The 24,071-nt window shown below is 45.9% G+C and overlaps 2 long non-coding RNA genes and 1 pseudogene across 3 annotated transcripts in view, besides 1 other annotated feature; 1 reads left to right on the forward strand and 2 right to left on the reverse strand.

The window, feature by feature from the left end:
- The window catches only part of LOC124900830 (uncharacterized), a 32,841-nt gene extending 26,005 nt beyond the window's left edge, over positions 1–6,836 (reverse strand). For both annotated transcript variants that reach the window (XR_007058420.1, XR_007058419.1), the window contains exon 1: positions 6,799–6,836. This is a non-coding gene — a long non-coding RNA (uncharacterized LOC124900830). The remainder of the gene's footprint in view (positions 1–6,798) is intronic.
- Positions 1,183–2,752, forward strand: LOC124900829 (uncharacterized). Its single transcript, XR_007058418.1, has 2 exons — positions 1,183–1,258; positions 2,324–2,752. It is a non-coding gene; the product is annotated as an uncharacterized LOC124900829 (long non-coding RNA).
- Positions 10,327–10,457, reverse strand: RNU4-64P (RNA, U4 small nuclear 64, pseudogene; annotated as a pseudogene).
- Positions 10,981–12,180: an enhancer, noted in NCBI's record as "BRD4-independent group 4 enhancer chr4:186948264-186949463 (GRCh37/hg19 assembly coordinates)". NCBI's record gives its function as "activates an origin of replication core promoter dependent on BRD2, P300/CBP, MED14 and CDK7 cofactors, and independent of BRD4, by STARR-seq in HCT116 cells {active_cell/tissue: HCT116}" and the evidence as "EXISTENCE:reporter gene assay evidence [ECO:0000049][PMID:35650434]".

The following is a 24,071-nucleotide window of genomic DNA, read 5'->3' on the forward strand; positions in this document are numbered from 1 at the left end:
TCTTGAACTCCTGACCTCATGATCTGCCTGCCTCAGTCTCCCAAAGTGCTGGGATTACAGGTATGAGCCACCGCACCAGGCCTAAGTTTTAATTTTTTTTAATTTTTATTTAATTTAATTTTTTTTTTGAGATGGGAGTCTTGCTCTGTTGCCCAGGCTGGAGTGCAGTGGTGCAATCTCAGCTCACTGCAACATCCTCCTTCTAGGTTCTAGTGATTCTCGTGCCTCAGCCTCCCAAGTACCTGGGATTACAGACGTGTGCCACCATGCTAAGGGGCCACTGCCGATTCTCCTGTAACAAAAGACAGGTTAACAAGAGAAAAGCACACAGATTTGTTTAATCAAAGTTTTACATAACATGGGAGCCTTAGGAAATGAAGACCCAAAGAACCAAGGGAAAACTGCCCATTTCTATGCTTAGATTTGATGAAGAGTGGTAGCCCTGCGGAGCTGTGACTGGACACAGAGGGAGCGATGGGACAGTGACAGACAGAGGGGGACCCAGCTGGGCCTGTCTGGGTTCCTCTTGGCCTCCCTGTGTGGCGTTCCTTCTTCCTGCGTGTAGGGCAGGGCCCCTTCTGGAATGAGGGTCTTATAACCTACTTTCAGGAAAGTAAGTCAGAGAACTTCTTTATGGCCAGCTCTTACTCAGAAAGGCAGGGAAAGTTCCAGTAGTGATTCTAGTTTCTAATGGCTGGCTTTGGGGAAAGAGATTCTAGTTTCCGTGACCTGCTTTAGGGAAGAGGATTTCTGGTTTCTATGACTCACTTCTTGGGGGAATGAGGGGCGAGAGACAGGAGGGCAGGAGAAGGTCAGAGACTTGGTTCTGAGGCTGCTTCTGAGGCTTTCCAATGCCCTTTAGTTCAAAGTCCTCAGCAGGTCAAGGCCATACTTGGGGTGTCCTTTTCGGAGCCGTGACTTATGACTTAAAGCAAGATGAACTGTTTTGCTATTATGTAGCAGAATCAAGATGAACTGTTTTGCTATTATGTAGCAGAATCAAGATGAACTCTTTTGCTATTATGTAGCAGAAACAGAATTAAACCTAGCCTGCAGAATTCAGAGTCCCATGTGTTCTATTGTTATGCTATCCCAGTGTATGCCATTGAGTGGATAAAATGAAATGGCATCATTGTGCTTATCCCATAGGAAGCAACCCATACATGACAGATACTGCTATTATAACTCAGCACCATCCATTCAGTCATCGTGTGGTCTTCATCTTTTGAAGCCTCATTTTCTCATCTGTAGAACTTGCGTGAGTATTAAGAAGATGTCTGAGGATGCCAGGTGCTAGAGCTGCAGAGAGAACCTGCAGAGAGAAGGGGTGTTGGTTGTGTTGGTTATTAGGGTGTCTCAGGCCATCGTTCAGCACCCTGACCTCTTCCTTCAAGCTGAGCCCTGGGGAAGGGAGCAGAGGGGCATGAATAGGTCAGTTTTGGGGCCCGCCCTATGACCTCCACATCTCTCTTCTTCTTTCCTCTTCTCCAAATTTTAGAATGTGCATCCTTTCCAATCTTTTTTGTTGTTAATGTAGTTGTTTGTTCATATGCCAGTACCGCAGCTACAGAGGCCCTGAAATGCCAAGAATTAACTTCTTTTCTTCCCTATACTGTTTTAAAGCACAGGTTTTGTTATAATTTTGATAGGGCAAGACCAGTAGATAGGAGATGACTACCATTGAAAAAAAAGTCTGATGCTCACAGATGCCAAGAGGAGTGAGCGCCTACAGTGTGTGGCCACACGGGTAGCACCCGGGTCAGGCAGGAGGCAGAGTGAGCAGGGGGAGAATGCTGGGGAGAGGATTCCATGGGAAGGAGCAGGCAAGGCAGGGTGAGCAGGCTCAGGGTGGAGAGCTTGAATAATTTCAGCAGACTCTGGGCATAGGGCCTGTCCCTAACTGTCTGGTACCTGGTTTGGGGTGATCAGGGCAGGGGGAATCATGTTGAATTTGAGATCCCCAGTAGAGGACGTGGTTAGGGGCATGGGCTTTGGATTGGTTCATGTGCATTTGAAAGGCTCTCTCTGGAGGCGGGGGTCCTTCACTGTCTCTAGGAATCGGCTAACTAGAGACAGTAGTAAGCTAACTGACTGCCAGTCCCCCCAGGCTCAGCCAGACTCCAATGTCAAACCATAAATATACATAAAATAAAAAGACATGGTTAGACACATGCATTCTGCAGTGTCAAATAACACTTGGGCAATGGAAAATTCATATCTAGTCTCCCAGGTGGGAAAAAAAAAAAAAAAGGAAATATCAAGAACGGTTACTATTGCAAAGTGTTATCCCACTAAACACCCTCTATCTCTCTGTGTTTTGTAGCATGAAGCTTTGTTACCATGACGTCACATGCTATCCATGGGGTTTTGTTGCTGTTACAGAGGTCCCCGTGATATGCTGTCCTGCATTTCTAGACATGTCTTTGGTTTGGAAGCCTGACACCACCAAAAGAGAACTGCAGTGCAAATGGTTTTGAAATCCTCCACTAATCATCCTAGAAGCTCAGCTAGTTCCAGGGCCTTCCATAATTCCAATTCCAAAGGACTTCATATCAAAACATTCTTTGCTTGTTTTGCTACCCCCCAAGATTGCATTTATCCCTTCTCTGGAGATTTTAACAGTTGGTGAGCTACCCTAGGCTCTGGTGGCACCTTCTATAAGTGACCCTTGACCTTCCACTTTCCTGAACTGATGAAAACATAGCTGTGTTAGCTCAAATAAATATTTCCTAACTGCCTGCTTTGGGGAAAATGCTGTGTGAAATGCTTGATGGATTTATTTATTCAACACCTGTTTATGAAGTGTTGATTATGTGCTAGACACTTTTGCAGACATTGAGGATACAGTAGTGGACTAAATAGACAAAGCTCCCTCATGGAGCTTATTTTGTAGTGGGGTAGGCGGGTGCTGGCAATAAACAAGGTGAAAATATATGGCATGTCAGGTGGTGATAAAAGCCAGGGGGTAAAATGATGCCACGATGGGGGAGAGGAGGCCTGCCACTTTAAATAAGACAGTAAGAAAAGGTCTTTGTGAAGGTGACATTTTAGCAAAGATTTGAAGGATGTCTCTGAGAGAGGATTGTTGGAGATGGACACAAGAGGGATTGAGCAAGAAACACAAGCAGTGGCAGCTGAAACCTGGGTTTCTCAAAATGGAGTTTATGGAGAGTGTGTGTAACAACAATAAGATAAAAAAAGGAGAGATATAAGATCAGTGCCTTCACCTCAAGAACTTCATGGTCTCATTAGAGAGGTTTCCTAACAACAAACCATTAGAAATGAGACAGAGCAGGGATCCCTCTTAGGGGCCTGCAAGTCCCTCAAGCATGAAAGAAAAATCTTGAATTTCTTCAAGGGGAATTCCAGGCACCCAGCTATCCCTGAAGAGTAAATGAGCAACTTGACCAGCAAGAAGGTAATAGTAGCTTAAAACAATAACCAAGGGAGTTGAAGTCATGGGGTGTTTGGTAAAGTCATGGGGTATTTAGATAAAGCTTCACCTCCTTACCCAATTGCAAACCCCAACATCTTTGAATCCACCTGTGACCTGTGGAACCCTGCTTCATGACACCCTACTTTTTTAGGCCAAACCAATATAGAGCCTCAATATATTAATTGACTTCTTTGCCTGCAATCTCTGCTTCTCCAGATTTAAAATCTCCTACCTGTAAGCCACCGAGAGGTCAGGTCTCAATTGTAAGCTGCCCAATTCTCTTTCCTTGGCATCCTGCAAATAAACACCTTGCTTTCCCCTGCTGCAAACCACGGTGTGGATGTTTGGCCTCACCCCACAGGAGAGCAGACACCAGTTCAGTTCAGTAACAGAAATAGGTCATTAAAGATGGATTCTGTCTACAGTTCACCCAAGCAAGTGAAGTCTGTGTTAAAATACTCAATAGTATCTCTCTTAGCTCTTGCCAGAATGAACATGAAGTCAATGACAGGTTGGTAACTCATAAAATTAAGGCAGATTTCCACACTCATCGTCACCACTCTCACCTAACACTTGGTCAGCATCTACTGTAAACAGTTTACTCTACTGAGTGTAGGAAGAGGCACAGTCGTGAGTGTGAGCTTCCTGAGTGGGGACGTCCTGCGCTGTCACTTTTAAGGAAGGCTTCACGTAGGCCATGCTGGAACCCAGAGTGCCTGAGACAACCGCTAGGGAGGAGACTTCCTGAGGCCTGTGGCTGAAGGAGAATGAGCCAGGGCTTCTCACAGGCAGACATGGGTGTAAAGGGAAACGAGGGAAGGAGTTTGGCCTTCATGTGCTGGTCCTTACCCTGGGTCGATGGCGGTGGATGCAGGGCTAGGTGTGAAAGAGACAATCCTACTTTACTGAAGGTCTTGGGAGCTCAGCAGCGTGGACTTGCCGGGATTCAGCTCCCTGGGCCCTGCCCTCTTCTGCAATATGGACAGCAACCGGGTAAGGAGGCGTTGAGAGAAGAGACTCGTAGAAGGGCAGGTGTGCAGAACCGAACATGGAGGGCATCGGTGAGACGTCCCAAGGCTTCCAGGAATAGCTGCAAAGAGCACAGGGCTGCCTGGAGAGCCTGTGTCTGCAGCAGAAACCAGCACCTGCAGGACAGGCCATGGCTGTGAGGGGGATGTTGGAGGTGCTCAGCTTACTGAGCTCTGGAGCCAGCATCATATGTGAATATGTGTTAGCACGTCGTCCAGCACTGTGTGATTCGTAGTAAATCTTTACAGAATTGAAATCTATCTGGTGTCTCTAGAAATTGACTTGAAGCACAAGGTAGCAGAAAGTACTTGTCAGAAGAAGACAGATGCTCAGTTCGGAGGAGGGAGAAACAGGGAACCCAGAGGAGGGCGAAGGCGTCACCTGTGAGGCCAGGCGTGTGGCCGTGAGCAGCCCCGTTGTGTTGCAGAGGTTTCACAGATCAGTAGTTACTGTCTTCATCTGGACTATAGAGAGCACATATCACATAGGCCACAAAGCCTGTCATTCTCCACAGTAGAAAACTTTTACAGGCTGTTTTTATCTCTAGAAACACTGGATTGTTTGGCAGTAACAAGAAACATCTTTCCACCCACACACGCCCACGGAAGCATGTTGAACATCAGTGAAGTACGTTACACTGGGGATCGCACCGCGTATCTTCTTATATAGCAGTTTTTATATAGTAGTTCATTAGGGGAGCAGAGATTTTTTTTCTCTCTCTCCCCTCCCTTTGTAATTTTCAGAATAGCAAATAGCATGATCAAAGCCATCATCTCCTGTTTTCCTTTCTCTAGAGTTTAAATAAATCAGGCTGAAAAATCTCTGAGCCTATGATAACAATCACTCATTGATAGCTTATCACTTAGGAAGAGGTTTCAAGGGCTAAAAGACGTAATGAAACCCCAACGCAGAACATGTAAATGAACAGACTGTCTCTTTCCCCTCATACATCCCACGCTACTCAGTACAGAGGCCAAAGCTCTGTGAATGCACAGGGCTGGGGAACGAGATGCCATCTGGAACTGGAGATGCAAAGCCACATCCCATCCCTGATCCGTATGGCCCAGGCCCAGCCTGGGAAGGTGTGGGGTATACTGACTGCGGGGGTCCCATCACTTCTCCTAGAACGGGTTCTCCGCGCGCTGTGCAGAGAACAATACTGTCCTCTAGCGCTCAGAGATCAGAACTGGAAATCAAGAAGCTTGTTTTTATTTCTCCTCCCATATTGTCAGTGATTCCCAGAGCAATATACCACTCCCAAAGCAAAGGGAATGGATTGACACAGTTCACAAAATCCAGGGCAGAATCATCCTGGCTTTGCCTCCCTTGTCTGGGTAATGACAGCTGCAGGGTTTTATCTGGTCTTTGGGGCAGTGCAGCATGTATTTAATCTATCCTTAGTTCAGCTTTGCCAAGGGAGAATCAAGATTTTTCTATCTTGATTAAATATGCATGTAATTTGTCATCAGCTAAATGAGCAAACAATATCTCCTTGTCCACCTCATAGACTTATGATGAGAATCAAATAAAAGCATAAAACAATGTAAAAGTATAAAACTGAATAAATGAGTTATTATTGAGGAAAATGCACATTTATCTGTTATTTAAAACACTTCTTTAATTCACTTCTATGTTTCAGGATTTTTACCTAGATATATAACATCACCATTTATATACATGCAATGAAAACATAATTTATATTCTATGTAATTACGTCCTTTCTAGCCCTACCGATAAGTCTTACCACGAAGAAAATGCTTTATTTTTTTGTGACTTTAAACTCTGGACAATATGTGTCTTCAACCTCTTATAATTCACCCACAGGGATTCTCTTCAAGGATGGTATAACCCACATTTCCAGAGCAGCCACACAGGACAGCCGCCTCTGCACAACCATTACCATAAGCATGCGTGTGTTTGGTACAGACAGAAATGGATGATGGGGAGTGTGGGCCCTACGTTGGAGAAGGTTATATTTGCTACCAGATACCACCACCAATTTGCTTAAAATTGCTTTCAAGCTATTAAAATACTGAGAAGGGGATGATCATAAATACTTAGATGGCTGAATTTTTTGCTCTGTTAGGATAAAAATTGGATGGTAATACTTGGCTTCAAATTATACAACAGAGTAGTGACTTTTCTCACCCTTGCAAGAAAAATATTCTCAATGAAATATCAGATTCAGAAACAAAACAAGAGAAAATGCCTTTTCATATGCTTCAGTAGGGAAATGGGATGCAAAGGAACACTTCTAATAAGGAAACATTTGCTTAAAGTGATTTTTAAGGAAAGTTCTTTTATAATGACCTTTAAAATAGTTAAGATCATACCTGGTGGCCAGGCGCGATGGCTCATGTCTGTAATCCCAGCACTTTGGGAGGCCGAGGCACCAGATCAGTTGAGGTCAAGAGTTTGAGACCAACCTGGCTAACATGATGAAACCCCGTCTCTACTAAAAATACAGCAAAAAAAAAAGTTAGTGGAGCATGATGGTGGGAGCCTGTAATCCCAGCTACTCAGGAGGCTGAGGCATGAGAATCACTTGAACCCACAAGGCGGAGGGAGCAGTGAGCCAAGATCAGGCCACTGCACTCCAGCCTGGGCAACAGAGCGAGACTCAGTCTCAAAACAAATAAAATAAATAAAATAATATAAACAGATCATATCCGGCAAATGTTGACAACTATTTTACCTTCATACTTATTCAAAATTTCAAAATATTAACAGCAAAAGACTTAAGTAGGAGTGCCAAGGCAACCACAAACGGGCCAGCAGTTTAGTTTGCAAACAGAATTGAATTGTACAGGGCAGGGCTCACACACTGACCCCGGCCCAGGGGGACCCTTAAATATCAAGGCAGGAGAACATTGGTGTGTCAGCCTACGTGGGACCAAACTGCAGAATTTCCTACAAGATCCGTCTTTCCTCCTTTTTTATAGTCCGATACTCTCTTTGTCAACCTGTTTCATTAGTTAGTAGGTCACAAAAAGGGAAACTTCTCAATTGCTGAAAAATCTTTCTCTAGTTCTTAAAATCACAAGGTTTGTGCCTGTAACATACATGTTTTATATCTATTCCGACAGTTGCCATCCAGTGTGTATTGTTACCACGTTTAATACATTAAAGTAAATCCCACTGCACCATGCGTGTGGACTGCCGTGCACACTGACTGTGCTCTTTTTGTTCAGTATGGCTCCGCTTTTAAAGCTGTGGTCTGTGTGTGTTTGTGTGGATGACGTGCACGGCTTTCTGAAACGATGCTCCAGTGGTGGTGAAGGGGACAGCGGGGCTGGACTCTGCCCACCCTGGCCCAGCTGGGCACCCAGCTCCCGTCCTGGCTCCTGCTCCTGTTCTGCCCCTCTCACCAGATTCTGAGCCTGGGTTTGTTCACAGACTGATCCCCAGACTCCAACGCCTGGGACTTGACACCTTCTGCTAAAACTCTTCTCTACATTCAACGTGCCGCAGGCTCACCTTTCACAAAACGACTAGATTTTGGCTGATGAGCCCTGTTCCCGTGGGCGTCTGACTGTAGTGAGTCCTTGTTTGGGCTGCACCGTTCCTGTCTCGGCACCGATGTAGTCGACCGTCCAGGTGAGGCCGAACCAGGAGAGCTTTGGCAGCGGTGAAGCCTCTCCATTCTTTCCAGACCAGTGCTGAAATACACCCCAGTGGTTCCAACAAATAAACTAATATCCAGACATCCACCCCTCCAGGGACAACAAATATAGAGGTTAATACAAATATTGAGAGGACAGGTGGGGCGTGGTGGCTCATGCCTGTAATCCCAGCACTTTGGGAGGCCGACGCAGGTAGATCACTTGAGGTCAGGAGTTTGAGAGCAGCCTGGCCAACATGGTGAAACCCTATCTCTAGTAAAAATACAAAAATTAATCATGGTGGCAGGCACCTGTAATCTCAGCGACTCGGGAGGCTGAGGCAGGAGAATTGCTTGAACCCAGGAGGCAGAGGTCGCAGTGAGCCGAGATCACGCCACTGCACTCCAGCTGCAGCCTAGGGCCGAGTGAGACCCTGTCTCCAAAAAACAAAACAAACAAAAAATAAAAAAAAAAAATAAAATAAAAATAAATATTGAGAGGACAAATATGAAAGAAAGCAGATTAGATATTGGCATCAAGCTTTTTAAAGAAAAAAATACTGATTTTATTCAAATGCAGCGAAGTTTCTATTATTAATACTGCCACCGCAGAACCCGCTGACCTTGCGAAATGCTGGGTTCACCTGCAGGACGCAGACACAGAGTTCACTGTGGCTAAGACCAGGTCAGCCTATGGGATCTAGAGAGTTCTGATCCAGGCAAACTCTTCCAGGAAATGGAACTGTGTATCAGAGAATGAGAAATAGAAGGAACACTTTTCTGTGAATGCCTCTTTACTGTCTCAGTATAGAAAACTTACACAAAATTCAAGAAGCAACTCAAATAACTCTGCCTCCTCATGCCCCTGCCTGCTACTTATTCAGATGCACGTTCCCACCGTGTTTCTCCCACTCTCGGGGCGGCACTCATGACTCTATGACGCTCGTTTCTGTGCCTTGCCTCCCCCAGGATTGTGAGCGAGGGTAAGACAAGGATTGTGCCTCATTCATCTCAGTATCTCAGCTCTTCGTAGAGTGATGTGCAAATAGTAGGCCCTTCAAAGATGCGCGGAGTTAACACAGAGTTCATTTCTGAAGCTTTTGGCAGCATGGATGCTGTTGATCCCTTGCTGGGAGGGAACTAAACTTCAGACCACCCATGTGGGATCTTGAAACAGAAACAGGGAATCCTGTTTTCACTTCATATGTAGATGGCTTTACAAAGATGTCACTCCCACCTTAGCAAGGAGGAAAAGCCATGTGATCTTCACAGTGCCAACTTTTCTTGAGCACTTCAGAAAGCTGAGGTTGCAAGGCAAGCAAGTGAAGTCAGTTCTGAGGAGTGACAGGTCCCTCGGGGAGAATCGGGCCGCACAGATGGTTTCACCCTTGGCAGAGTGTGAGAGGAGGGTGGATGGAGCAGCCGTAAAAGCAGGTTGGAAGAAAACAGCCAGGATGGGCCGGGTGCGGTGGCTAACGCCTGTAATCCCAGCACTTTGGGAGGCCGAGGCAGGCGAATCACAAGGTCAGGAGTTCGAGACCAGCCTGGCCAACATGGTGAAACCCCATCTCTACTAAAAATACAAAAATTAGCTAGGCATAGTGACAGGCGCCTGTAATCCCAGCTACTCGGGAGGCTGAGGCAGGAGAATCGCTTGAACCCGGGAGGCGGAGGTTGCATGAGCCGAGATCACGCCGCTGCACTTCAGTCCGGGGGGCGACAGAGTGAGAGTCCGTCTCAAAAACAAAAAAAGCAAAACGAAACAAAACAAACAAAAACAAAACAAAAAACCCAGCCAGAATGTAGCAAATTCTTAAAGTCTGAGTGTGAGCTTGTGTGCTAGATGGTTGAGAAAGCCCCGGTGGGCCTGAGACACAAGGAGAACCTGCATTCACCTAGTGTTAGCTCTTTCCACCATCTCCACTGTGTGCTCCTGAGGAAGATCTGGACAGGGAAGGACAATCCAGCTACTGTCCCTGACACAGATACTGCTTCAGGGGAGGGGAAGAAGCAAAAGCGCTGTTTGTCCTTGGGGGAAGACCTGGAAAATACTCAGGTGCAAGATCCTGTGATGGATGCAAAGCGAAGGCGGTTACCATGGGGAAGGGAGCTGGGAAGCTTTGCAAGCAGGAGGAATAGCTGCTGGGCAAAGTGACACCACTTTGTGGAAAGCTCACTATCACCACCTTCCTCTCAGCCCCTACAAGCCCAGAGAACAGGCAAAGTGCTTTGGCGGAGGTGTCTAGAAGAATCTAGTGCTTCTGTCACCAGGTGTGTGAAAATATCTCAACTCCTCACAAGGTCCACTGCCTTGCGCTGCTCATTTTCAATTAGCAATAATCATGCCTTGGATAAACCTCATTGGCTATGATACAGCCACTGCAGAGAGCTATGCTGTTCATTTTCTTCACCTAAGACTCACAAAGCAGGGGATGGGGGGCAGTCAGACCTTAGCTACAAGAGGCTGGGAAGTGTAATTTTCATCCATCTTTCTTTCCTTCCCTCCCTCCCTCCCTTCCTTCCTTCCCTTTCATCTCTCTTGTCCTTTCTTTCTTCTCTTTCTTCTCTGCCTCTGCAGTTCAAACAGGCATTCTAGCTGTAGTTCAGAAAGTGATTCCATAAATGGGTTGGAACAGGAGCTGAAAAGCCAGTCCATAATTTCTACTGCACCTCTCATCCCACTAAATACCATTACGTCAGAGGCCCTGTTCATTTCCTTTACAGTGCCACAGCAGTTACAACAAAACAAAATACACATAATGGTGGTTTATTTTTACTTATTTAATGTCCTCCTCTGCCCCATTCATTTATAAGTTCCGCTCATGCCTCGTGTAAACAAAAACTAAAACTCTAAGCCCTCAACCGACTGAATGGATCCCTTCTGAGCCAAGGAGACCTCAAATGATATGGTTTGGATGTGTGTCCCCTCCAAATCTCATGCTGATGTAATCCCCAATGTTGCAGGTGGGGCCTGGTGAGAGGTGTTTGGGTCATGGGATGTATCCCTCATGAATGGCTTGGTGCCATCCTCATGGTAATGAGTGAGTTCTTGCTGTATCAGTTCATGGGAGAGCTGGTTGTCTAAAATAACCCGGCACCTCTGTGATTGCCAGACAGTTTCTTCTTGCTGGCTGCACAGACAAAATCAATCCACTGAGACCACAGCATTGCAGTACAGAAAGAGTTTAACTGACACGAAGCCGGACCACATGGGAGAACTGGAGCTATCATTCAAATTGGTCTCTCTGAAGGCTCAGAGGTTAGAGTCTTTATGACAATTTGGTGGGCGGGGAGTTAGGGAATGGGCGCTGCCGATTGGTTGGGGATGAAATCACAGGGTGCAGAAACAATCCCCGTGCTCTGAGTCAGCTGCTGGGTGGAGCCACAGGATCAGGTGAGTCAGGAGTCAGGAGTCCAGGTGGGGTGTGTCTGAAACACATCTCAGAAAACCCATCTTAGGTTCTACAGTAGTGATGTCATCCATAGGAGCAATTGAGAAGGTCTCAAATCTTGTGACCCCTGGCCACGTGACCCCTGAGTAGTTAGGGATTGTAGGAACAACACCTGTCTCTTAGCAGGTTCAGGCCCCTCCCATAATCCTAACCATGAGGTCTTTCATTGGTTCTAGAAAGGTGGTTCAGTTCTGGGAAGGGCTGTTATCATCCTTGTCTTAAGGTTAAACTATAAACTAAATTTTTCCCAAGGTTAGCTTGGCTTACATCCAGGAATGACCAAGGACAGCTTGGAGGTCGGAAGCAAGATGGAGTCACCTATGTCAGATTTCTCTCACTGTCATCATCTTTCCAAAAGCAGTTTCACCTCACTGCTCTTTCTCTTGCTCCCTCTCTTGCCTTGTGATACGCTGGCTCCCCCTGAGTCTTCCACCATGATTGGAAGCTTCCTAAGGCCTCACAAGAAGCAGATGCTGGCAAGACACTTCCTATACAGCCTACAGAACTGTAAGCCAAAGTAAACTTGTCTTTATAAATTATCTGGTCTCAGGTATCCCTTTATAGCAATGCAAAACAAACTAATACACCAGAGAGGCCTGAAAAACTGAATTCCCCACCACAATGGGAAGGGATGTCAGACACACCTCGCTATGCCCCCTCCCTTTGGAGTTTAGGTACAACTGACCAGCATTAACATGAAAACAGAGATCATAACACTGACAAAACAGACTCCATGGCAATAAGATAACAAATTCCAACCTGACTCTGGTATAGCATCATATGACAGATAGCACTCTCTGAAGGAAATCAAGTGTATTTTACCTTAAAATATATTTCATTGACATATTTTGAAATGGCCCTGCAAAGCCATCTTTCATGGAGGAAGTTTGTAGAGAATCTTCATTCATGCAGCCTGGCCTTTCCCGATCTAGGAGAGATTAACTAAGAGTCTGACACCTGGCTGGGCGTGGTGGCTTACGCCTGTAATCCCAGCACTTTGGGAGGCTGAGGCAGGCGGATTACAAGGTCAGGATATCAAGACCATCCTGGCTAACACAGTGAAACCCCGTCTCTACTAAAAATACAAAAAACTAGCCGGACATGGTGGCGGTGCCTGTAGTCCCAGCTACTCAGGAGGCTGAGGCAGGAGAATGGCGTGAACCTGGGAGGTGGAGCTTGCGGTGAGCCAAGATTGCGCCACTGCGCTCCAGCCTGGGTGACAGAATGAGACTCTGTCTCAAAAAAAAAAAAAAAAAAAACAGAGTCCGACACCTGTTAAGTTCTGAAAAGAGACATTCAGTATCTATTCTCTCTGAAGGCTGCTACCTGGAGGCTTCATCTACATAACAAGGACCTTGCCTTCCACAACTCCCCTTATGTGAACCCAAGCATTTCTTTCTACCAACTTCAAGCCTTTAGACAAAGCTTAACTGTTTCAAACAATTGCCAATCAGAAAATCTTTGAATCTACTTATGACTTATAAGCCCCCCACTTCTCACCTTTGAGATATCCCACCTTTCCAGGCAGAACCAATGTACACTGTACATGTACTGATTTATGTCTTTGTCTGTAACTTCTTTCTCCCTAAAATCTATAAAACCAAGCCATAACCCGACCACCTCAGACAGCCTCTGTCAGGACCCCTTGAGACTGTTCTCTGAGTCATGGCCACTCATATTGGTGCAGAATAAACCTCTTCAGCTGTTTTACAGAGTTTGGTTTTGCCAGTAACACTCACGCTTTGCACTTTGTCCACCTCGTCCTTGGGGTATCCTCACTCTAAACCACAGTGTTTAGTATATGGTTGGCACTTGATACATATTGCTGAATAAATGATCAGGCCCTTTAAGAACTGGTTAAGAACAAAACAAAAGCAAGACTGCCCTTTCTATGGAAAAATAAATACTTAGATGTCCAGACATGTTTATACTCAACTTCCTGAATTTCCCAAAAGGAAATGCGGGGAGGGGATGAGATGAGGTCTGCTCTAGTTAACTTGCTTGGAAGCAGCAATTTTGATCATGGAACTATTAAAATGTATGTGACCTTCCAAAAAAAATAAAGAGGGGAAATAGTTTCAATGTTCCAAACTCCCTCTTTGGGTCTGAAACATGTGTCACTGGCAGGTCACCCTCCCGGGAGTGCATGTCTGAAACGTGTCACTGGCAGGTCACCCTCCTGGGAGTGCACGCCTGCACGAAGCCCATGTTTGGCTGTGCCTGGAGTGTCTCCATTAGCGCTGGCACATAATGCTGCAGCCTGCGCCAGCTGCTTTTCAAACAGATTCACTGGCAACAGAAAAGGAAGAAAAAAAAAATCCAAGGTCTTAGGGTACATTTTTTTCATTCTCTTTCTACAGCTAAAAGGAAGCTGGAAGCTTGAGAAGGATTCACAGTAGCTGAATAATAGCCAGAAAGGGAGATTAGCAAGGAGCATTGTGAGAGCTGGGAGATTTTTCTTGGGTTTAGCACGAGAAGAATGTAATGCTGTGTGTGTTTGACTTGCTCGTTCTGTTGGTGTCCCCCCTCCCTTGGCTCCAGAGCCCCTGTACGCCTTCCCTCTTCCTTTGCCAGTAAGGGATTGACATGGGGTCAGTCATGAAGACGCTGTCTCCCAGCCCCACCCCAAAGGTCACAGCAGGAGGCTGCTGCAGGCTGCCTCTCAGGCTGCCAGTGGGAACAAAGATGAGGGCTGCTCAGCTCTTTTCTGGCTACCCAGGGAGAACAGTAAATCCCCTGGTGCTGCAGAGAGACCTGGACTTGGCGTGGAGACATGCTCCTTCCAAGTGACTAATTGTCAGATTTTCATATTTCATAAGGCACGCCAGCAATGAACAAGCAAGCAAAGGGACCGCAAATTAAGAAAATTACTCTAATTTATTGGTAACAATCAACCTTCATTTTCCTCTTTTCCATGGAACTTCTTCCTAATGACCTCCCCTCCTACAGCTGTGTCATTTGGATAAACACATCTCTCAGACATTTTTTAATGAAATTTGAGGCTATTCACGAAGGAGGAAGGGGAGGAAAAAGAAAACTCCTTATGCTCATCTCCCTTCATATTGTAGATGGTTCATAATGAGCACAGTGTCTTTTGAGATGTACTTGAAGGCATATTTTTCCATTTCCCGTAAATCTTCATGCTCTGGGTGTCCCAGTCATTGAAGCTGTGGGTTGCAGTGCTCCAAGAGTAAAAGGGTTCAGGAAATGCGACCGCAAAATATACTGATTGCTTCAAATGGAGGGCACTGGAGGAGCAGCAATGCAGGGAGGGGCTTTCTCTGAACCTGCCTATCTGCCTAAAAACCCAACTCTCCAACAGGAGCTCAATTGTCATGCATCTCCTCCCTGGGAATCTCATCAACCTGGGAGGATTATCCAGGAGAGACTTGGGGTCCACAGGACATCCAGGCAGACTCAGTCACAGGCATCACCCATTCACCTTCCCCCAGGTCATTCTCTCACCCCAGGCTTCCCGCACCTCCCCTCTTTCCCTGGGAAGAGGTTTGTGGGCTTCCAGACCACACTGGGTTTGGGCACTCACTTTTCTTCCCTGGGCTGCCCCTGTGCATATAATACATGTGTTTGCCTTTTCTCCCACTCATCTGCCTACTGTCTGCGTATTTCATAGACTCAGTTATCAAACCTTCAGAGAGCAGGGGGGTTGTCTTCCCTCCCCTGCAAGGGAAAAGTGGCTTCCTGCTCTTCCAGTTTACAGGTATATGCTGGGACAGTCAAACCTGATTTTTGTTGCTGTCTGCAGCAAGACAGTAAGACCACAGGCTAGACTTTGGAGAGAGGATGAGAGCAAGGATAAGTGAAAGAATAAGAGTGAGCAAAAGTGAGGAAGAGAGAGAGAGAGAAGAGAGAATTTTATGAATCTCTTAAGCATATGCGGAACTCAGCCTGGAGGTCTGTGATCACACGATTGGTCCAGGATGGGAGGTGGGCTGTCTTTGTGCCTGGAGGGCATGGCCAGGAGACCCCCGCTGCTGTAGAGCAGGAGGAGGATGCAATGGATGGGAGGGGAGCAAACTGTTGTTCTGTTCCCTTTGTGCTGAGAAATGGTGGAAAGAGGAGAGAGAGGCAATGTGGGCAACCAAGCATTGAGGAAACGGAGCACTTACTGAAGAAGAGATTTTAAATTAATAAATTCGGTTGAACAAAATCTTGATTCGCAGTCCTGCCCCATTCCTAGCGCTGGCAGGTTCAGGCTCAGGAGTGAGATGCGATCACTTGTCGAGAAACTGAGAAGTCACGTGTGTTTCATCCATGAGACTGTGATGCGAGTGAGTTTGCTACCCAGCCACAGTGAAACTTAGCCAGCGTCTGCATGTTCTATTTTACTGATGGGATAGCACTGTAGGAGGCAAAAGGAGATTGTGAAATGACACCGAGATCATAGTGATAATCTTATCATCAACAAAAAGAGTCAAACGCTATAGAATGTTTGAAGAGAGTTATTCTGAGCCAAATATGAGTGACCATGGCCCCAGGAACAGTCTCCCGAGGTCCTAAGGACATGTGCCTAAGGTGGTCAGGCTGCAGCTCGGTTCTGTACATTTTAGGGACACATGAGACATCGATCAATACACGTAAGGTTCACGTTGGTTCAGTCCAGAAAGGCAGAACAACTCACATTGGCAGGGGCAGAAGAAGTGGATTTGAAGATTTTCTGATTGGCAGTTGGTTGAAAGAGTCCAGTTATTATCTAAAGAGCTGGAATCAGTAGAAAGGAGTGTCTGGGTTAAGACAAGGGGTTGTGGAGACCAAGCTTCTTCTTATCCAGACGAGGCCTCCAGGTGGCAGGCTTCAGAGAGAACAGATTGTAAATGTTTGTTACCAGACTTAAAAAGGTGCCAGACTTTAGTTAATTCTCTCCTGGATCAGGGAAAAGATGTGGTAAGGGAAAGGGGATTCTCTACAGAATATAGATTTTCCCCACAAGAGACAGCTTTACAGGACCATTCCAAAATATGTCAAAGAAATATATTTTGGGGAGAAATACTTCCGTTTCTTTAAGGCCTGCTCTGTCATGTTGGTATCTTATTGCTAGAAAGCGTGTGTTTTGTCAGTCGTAAGGTCTCTGTTTTAATGTTAATGCTGGTCAGCTGGGCTGGATGCCACAGGGAGGAGGGTACAACAAAGCATATCCAAACACCCCTTCCCATCATGGCCCGAACTCGTTGATCAGGTTAACTTTGGAATGCCCTTGGCCAAGAGGAAGGGTCCGTTCAGTTGGTTGAAGGGCTTAGAATTTTATTTTTGTTTACAATGTGCTTTCTCAAAAGGAGGCTTTTTGTTTGTTCTTCCTGCCATTGCTGCACGGCTCTGAGGCAGTAAAAAAAAAAAATGATATTGGGTACATCAGTGTTTCCCCGGCCTCCCATGGAGGGGCGGAGCATGTTGTCAATCTTGAGAAAGATTATAATCAATCCAGTCAAGTTCAGGTCAGTTCAGTATCTTGACTGCTTTTCAGCAGTGACCAGAAATGGCCTCACCTTGGAAGAAGCACAGGCAACTTCCGGTTTCTCTCCTCAGAAACCCTGGGCTTCTATAACTGTTAGGAGAATCTGCATGTTCTCATAACTGACTTCTGTGCTGTGACTTGCCAACTACTATAAAGACTAGGTGGTACTTAAGGAAATGAGAACAAGAAATTGAAAAATGTGATTAACACACTCTGAGAGAAACTGGGCCAACTATCCAAAAACAAAGGCTCTTCCACTCTTTTTTTTTTGAGATGGAGTCTCACTCCATCACCCAGGCTGGAGTGCAGTGGCGTGATCTTGGCTCACCTCAACCTCCGCTCCCCAGGTTCAAGTGATTCTCCTGCCTCAGCCTCGCAAGTCGCTGGGATTATAGGTATCTGCAACCATGCGTGACTCATTTTTGTATTTTTAGTAGAGATGGGTTTTCGCCACGTTGGCCATGCTGGTCTCGAACTCCCAACCTCAGGTGATCCACCAGCCTCGCCCTCCCAAAGTGCTGGGATTACAGGAGTGAGCCACTGCGCCCGGCCCGACTCTTGAACTCTCTAAAGAACATGAACAAGTGGTGAAAAAAAACAGAGGATATTGTTTTCGCTTGAACAAAGATCACTTGTCATTTTTAAAAAACAAATGTTATTTCATTTATGAAAAGAAGAGCATCTATATATGTAAAGATTGCTACGTACATACAAAGGTTATCATTTACTCAAGGTACAGATCATGCCTGATGCATGCACGGATTCCCAGTCCCTCAGGGTACAGATCACACCTGATACACGCACGGATTCCCAGTCCCTCAGGGTACAGATCACACCTGATACACGCACGGATTCCCAGTCCCTCAGGGTACAGATCACACCTGATACACGCACGGATTCCCAGTCCCTCAGGGTACAGATCACACCTGATACACGCACGGATTCCCAGTCCCTCAGGGTACAGATCACACCTGATACACGCATGGATTCCCAATCCCTCAGGGTACAGATCACACCTGATACACGCATGGATTCCCAATCCCTCAGGGTACAGATCACACCTGATACATGCATTCATTCCCAGTCCCTCAGGGTACAGATCACACCTGATACATGCATTGATTCCAAGTCTCTCAGGGTACAGATCATGCCTCATACATGCATTGATTCCCAATCCCTCAGGGTACAGATCACACCTGATACACACACAGATTCCCAATCCCTCAGGGTACAGATCATGCCTGATGCACACACAGATTCCCAATCCCTCAGGGTACAGATCATACTTGATACACACTAGGATTCCCGATCCCTCAGGGTACAGATCACACCTGATACACGCACGGATTCCCAATCCCTCAGGGTACAGATCATGCCTGATGCACACACGGATTCCCAATCCCTCAGGGTACAGATCATACTTGATACACACTAGGATTCCCGATCCCTCAGGGTACAGATCACACCTGATACACGCACGGATTCCCAATCCCTCAGGGTACAGATCATGCCTGATGCACACACGGATTCCCAATCCCTCAGGGTACAGATCATGCCTGATACACACACGGATTCCCAATCCCTCAGGGTACAGATCACACCTGATACACGCATGGATTCCCAATCCCTCAGGGTACAGATCATGACTGATGCACACACGGATTCCCAATCCCTCAGGGTACAGATCACGCCAGATACACCCGTGGATTCCTAATCCCTCAGGGTACAGATCATACCTGATACACACTCAGATTCCCAATCCCTCAGGGTACAGATTATGCCTAATGCACACACGGAATCCCAATCCCTCAGGGTACAGATCATGCCTGAAACACACATGGATTCCCAATCCCTCAGGGTACAGATCACACCTGATACACACACAGATTCCCAATCCCTCAGGGTATAGATCACACCTGATACACACATTGATTCCCAATCCCTCAGGGTACAGATCATGACTGATACATACATGGATTCCCAATCCCTCAGGGTACAGATCACACCTGATCACACATGGATTCCCAATCCCTCAGGGTACAGATCACACCTGCTACATGCACAGATTCCCAGTCCCTCAGGGTATAGATCATGACTGATACACACATTGATTCCCAATCCCTCAGGGTATAGATTATGACTGATATATACATGGATTTCCAATCCCTCAGGGTACAGATCACACCTGATGCACACATGGATTCCTAATCCCTCAGTGTACAGATCACACCTGATGCACACATGGATTCCTAATCCCTCAGGGTACAGATCTCACCTGATACACACACTGATTACCAATCCCTCAGGATACAGATCGAGCCTGAGGCACACATGGATTCCCGATCCCCTTGCTGTATCTTCCCTCCCTCCCCAGCCCTCAAGTAGGGAAAGATTTCCTCAGACATATGAGGATACTTTGACAGAAAAAATTTCCAATTACTTTTCTAATTAGCACCTAAACATCCATCCATTTGTGTTATTACAATTAAAATTAAATTTTTATAAAACATTTTACAGGGTTAAAAAAAAGTCTGTTATTTTTCATATAGTAAATTTTTGATAATTCATAAGTATACAATTACCTATCAAGGGCTTGTTCTTATTTTCAAATACAGAGTCTGTATGCTTTTGTACATATTCAGTAGCTATTGCATCGGGTCAGGCACATGACAGGGGAAATGTGGTACCGATCTCTGATATAAGAAATAAGGAACAGGTTGAGCGATGTTCCCAATCCCTCTGCAGACCATCAGTTATCAACTGGTAAAGGCTGGGAATTGATGAGGTGGGCTTGAGCAGCAGCATCAACTCTTCAAGTATTTTACAAGCATCTGAGACCATTGACCATGGACTGTCCTCCAGAGAATTAAAGCTAACTTGTGGCCAGGCACAATGGCTCATGCCTGTAATCCCAGCACTTTGGGAGGCCGAGGGGGGTGGATCACTTGAGGTCAGGAGTTCATGACCAGCCTGGCCACCATGGTGAAACCCCACTCTACTAAAAACACAAAAGTTAGCAAGGCATGGTGGCGGGTGCCTGGAATCCCAGCTACTGGGGAAGTTGATGCAGGAGAATTGCTTGAATCCAGGAGGCAGAGGTTTCAGTGAGCCGAGATCATGCCATTGCACTCCAGCCTGGGTGACAGAGTAAGACTCTATCTCAAAAAAAAAAAAAAAAAGCTAACTTGTTTCTTATGTTTGTCTGATACTCCTAACTATTCCCATTACCAATTCACCTTGGTTGTCATAAACTTACTACTCAGATTCAAATCTCATTTGTGAGCTGATACAGTTTGGATATTGTCCCCTCCAAATCTCAGGTTGAATTATAATCTCCAGTGTTGGAGGTGGGGTCTGGTGGGAGGTTTTTGGGTCATGGGGGTGGATCCCTTATGGCTTGGTGCTGTCCTTGTGACAGTGAGTTCCAGAGAGATTGGTTAAGTGTGTGGCATCTCCTCCCTACTCTCTCTCTTGCTCCTGCTCTGGCTATGTGACCCACCCGCTCCCTCTTTTTCTTCCACCATGAGTAAAAGCTCCCTGAGACAGCCCAGAAGACAAGCAGATGACAGCACCATGCTTCCTGTAAAGCCTGCAGAACCATGAGCCAATTAAACCTCTTTTCTTATAAATTACCCAGTCTCAGGTATTTTTTTTATAGCAAGCCAAGAACAACCTAACACCAGAGCTGAGGCGAATCCAAATCTGCCACTTCAATCAATATCTCAGTCATTCTATTTTGGTGAGCAGGAATATAATGCAGATAAGCCAGAGACTGATGTGGCAAGCAAAACACAAAACTCTAGCAACTGAAATGACACAGCAGGGAAGCAAGCAGAGAACAGCAGCAAAGAGTGCAGGAAGGAATGGAGCAGGAGGAGCTGGAATGAAGACTCTAAATTCAGTTGCTGGGAAGGACAGTGAAATGATGAAGAAAAGCACATATTGGGGGGCAGGGTGGGGAAGAGGACAGGAAAGGAAATGTTGAAGGTAGGCAGATGAGGTCACAGAAGCTGGTCATTCATTCACTTGCTAACCTAGTCACTGACCAAATGAGTGCTTATTTAGAATAAAGTGTGGAAGGTTGCCGTGGGACATGACATACAGGGAACAGAAGGGAAAAGAATGTCATGGGTGACTGGTGACTATCCGGGCCAGTGGCACGGGGGTAAGAATTTATCAAGATAGTTGTAGGTAAAGAAAGGCAGGTTTAATAAAGAAAGTATAAAAATATGTTGCAAGAAGGCAACAGGTAGGCCAGCAGAAGAGGAGCTGACTGCCAGGAAACAAAGTCTTGCAGGGCTGGGGATTTTATAGAACTGTGCTTCTGCTGTGTGCTGAAGAGGGCTACGAGCAGTACTGATAACACCAGGGTTACAGGGAGCTCACTTACCCGTGCCTGGTGAGAAGGTGGGTAGAGGACGATTGAGTTATATTCATAGGAGGACTGGTCCTGGTGAAGAAAGGCAAGCCTACATAACTTATCTGCTTCCTCTTTCTGCTTTCCCTCGGTCCCACCAGCCTGACTCCTTTTCCCTAATTAGGACCCCAAAAAGAACAAAGGGATAAGCTGGTTCAAAGAATTATAAGCTCTTTAGACTGGGAAAGTGATTCTGGAGATAACCTCACTCAATTTGTTGATTGCACACACTAGGGAGCTGATGCACAGGTGTGCCCCTCTAGGCAGGATGTAGATAGGAGAGATGGAGCTGTTAGGAGAGGGAGCAATACTGCAGGGCAGGCGGGAATCACAGATGGAAGCAGCACCTGGAATCCAGACCTGTGGGCACTCTGCTGAGCTTCCCAGCCAGGGGATGGGAAGGACCAGGGCAGAGAGGGCCACAAGCCCAGTAAGGCCTTCTATAACCTGGAAGATAGGCAGCCCAAAAGTCGATGGAAGGCACACACCAATGCCATTCCCTAGTGTTTCCACAGGTGAAGGAAAATCGACTCTGTGGATCCTTTACCTACACTGTTTCGGCAGCAGGAAAAGCCCTGACTTTTCTACTCCTCCAAGAGAGCCCAAATCTCAAGGCATGCTAAAGGAACAAGCGAGGAAAATGAGAGGACAGCGAGGAGGAAGGGAAGGAGCAAAGGGAACACTCAAGTGTCTAATTCTTTGCATCTGTAATTAGCTTATTTAATCACCTAATTATGAAATGAAATTGTGCTTTGCCAGTAATTTCGAATTTCGGGACTTAAATGGGAAAAGGTGATATCTTTGCGCCATCTAGTGTTGTGTCTTGAAATGACACACTTCTTGACGTCTCAGCCCAGAGGAGCTGCAGGCAGCCTTACATAACCAGAAATAGCAAGATTAGCCTCTCCTGTTACATAACCGTGAGAAGTGTTTCAAAGCAGAAGATTATGCATTCCTAGCACCAAATGAATCTTCTCGATAGTTAGTAAGATAATCCCTAAATCTAGGGCAAGGCAGCAATTATGATCCTATTATCATCTGGAAGTTCAGGTATAGAAGAGAACTCTAGCAGGGTGCAGTGGCTCATACCTGTGATCCCAGACCTTTGAAAGGCTGAGATGGGAGGATCCCTTGAGCCCAGGAATTCAAGACCACCCTATGCATAGTAAGACCCTATCTCTATAAAAATAAAAAATAAAAATAATTAGCCAGGCATGGTTGTGCATCCCATCTACTCAGGGAGACTGAGCCAGGAGCATCGTTTGAGCCCAGGAGGTCAAGGCTGCAGCGAGCCATGCTCACGCCATTGCACTCCAGGCTGGGCAACAGAGCAAGACCCTATTTCAAAAATAAAAACAAAAAACTTTACTCTTAGTACAATGAGAACTAACATGGCTGAGAATGTAACCTTCTAGAGGTTAACTTTAACAGCAACATGAGATCATTGACAATTACATTATGGACTTAGAAGCTGATGTACAACTAGAGGAAGGAAGGAAAGGAGAGAGAGAAGGAAGGATATTAAATCATGGAATTATATCTGGTGAAAATAAATGAATCATTAAGTAAAATACACTGTCATAGGGCTATTTGATTATAAGAAGCATATTGATCAAATGTATTAAATAGGAAAGTAAAATTATCACTGAAAGTTACTAATTATAACGATCACTCTGTATTTACTATATGCTAGAAGTAGACGCACATTATTCCATTTAATCCTCACAATAGTCCCCTAAGGTAGACACGACCATTATTCAGATATGAAACCTGGGGCTTAAGGAGCTGAATAACCTTGCTCAAGGTCACAGATAGTCACCAAGAGGCAGAACTATGGTGTGAAGCTCGATCTTTCTGATTACAAAACGCTGCTTTTCATTGCTGTGTAATGCTGCCTCTTTCTGTCAGAAATGCTTTAAATTCTTGACCAACTGTAAACCTAAAAGCTGCAGGCCCTCTTTTGGTTTGTAACCTTGAATCTATTTCCTGACATTTTCATTAGAAGAGCGTGATCTATCCAGAGGTAACCATTTAATGCTGCAAAAAGTACAACCTGGCTGAAATGGTCATTTAAAACTCGGAACACACTGGAATCCTGAGGCAAAGGAAGAAAAGTGTGACTTCATGCAGCATTTCCAGATTCCAGGACGCAGAGACCTCCATCTAAGGACCAAGCACCGCTGGCACACGGACCGCGTGAGAAGCAGGTCCCTGCCGATGAGTCTTTCCTGCAGAAACCTCGGCTCCCTGACTTGGTTAAGCAGCAGCCGAACCGCAGCCTCAGCACCAACGTGAGAGGTGCCGAGCCCTCTCCTTCCTTAGCTACTGAGCTGGTTCTTAAGAAGCTTGTTCCTGCTAGTACCTGTCAAGAGCTTCCCAAAACATAAACCAGACGTTGGGGAAAATGTTCTCTCTAGTTGTATTTGGCTTTTCCACAAGCACTCTTTAAACTCAAGCGGCTGAAGTGCTCCCGGCTGAGGAGGATGCTGTTCTGTGCAAACGCCGAGCCATTGATCATGTTCCGGGTTGTCCAACTCTTCAGTTTGAGACAAAAACAAACACGCTTTTACACTAAATAGGCATGAAGGAGGTGGCCAGTGTGGCATTTTTCAGCTCTCCAAAGTATCCCAGGATAGTTTGATTTAGGGCTAACGTGTGTTTTATTG

Source organism: Homo sapiens, chromosome 4 (assembly GCF_000001405.40).
Source record: "Homo sapiens chromosome 4, GRCh38.p14 Primary Assembly".
In the NCBI taxonomy this organism is placed as follows: Eukaryota; Metazoa; Chordata; class Mammalia; order Primates; family Hominidae; genus Homo; species Homo sapiens.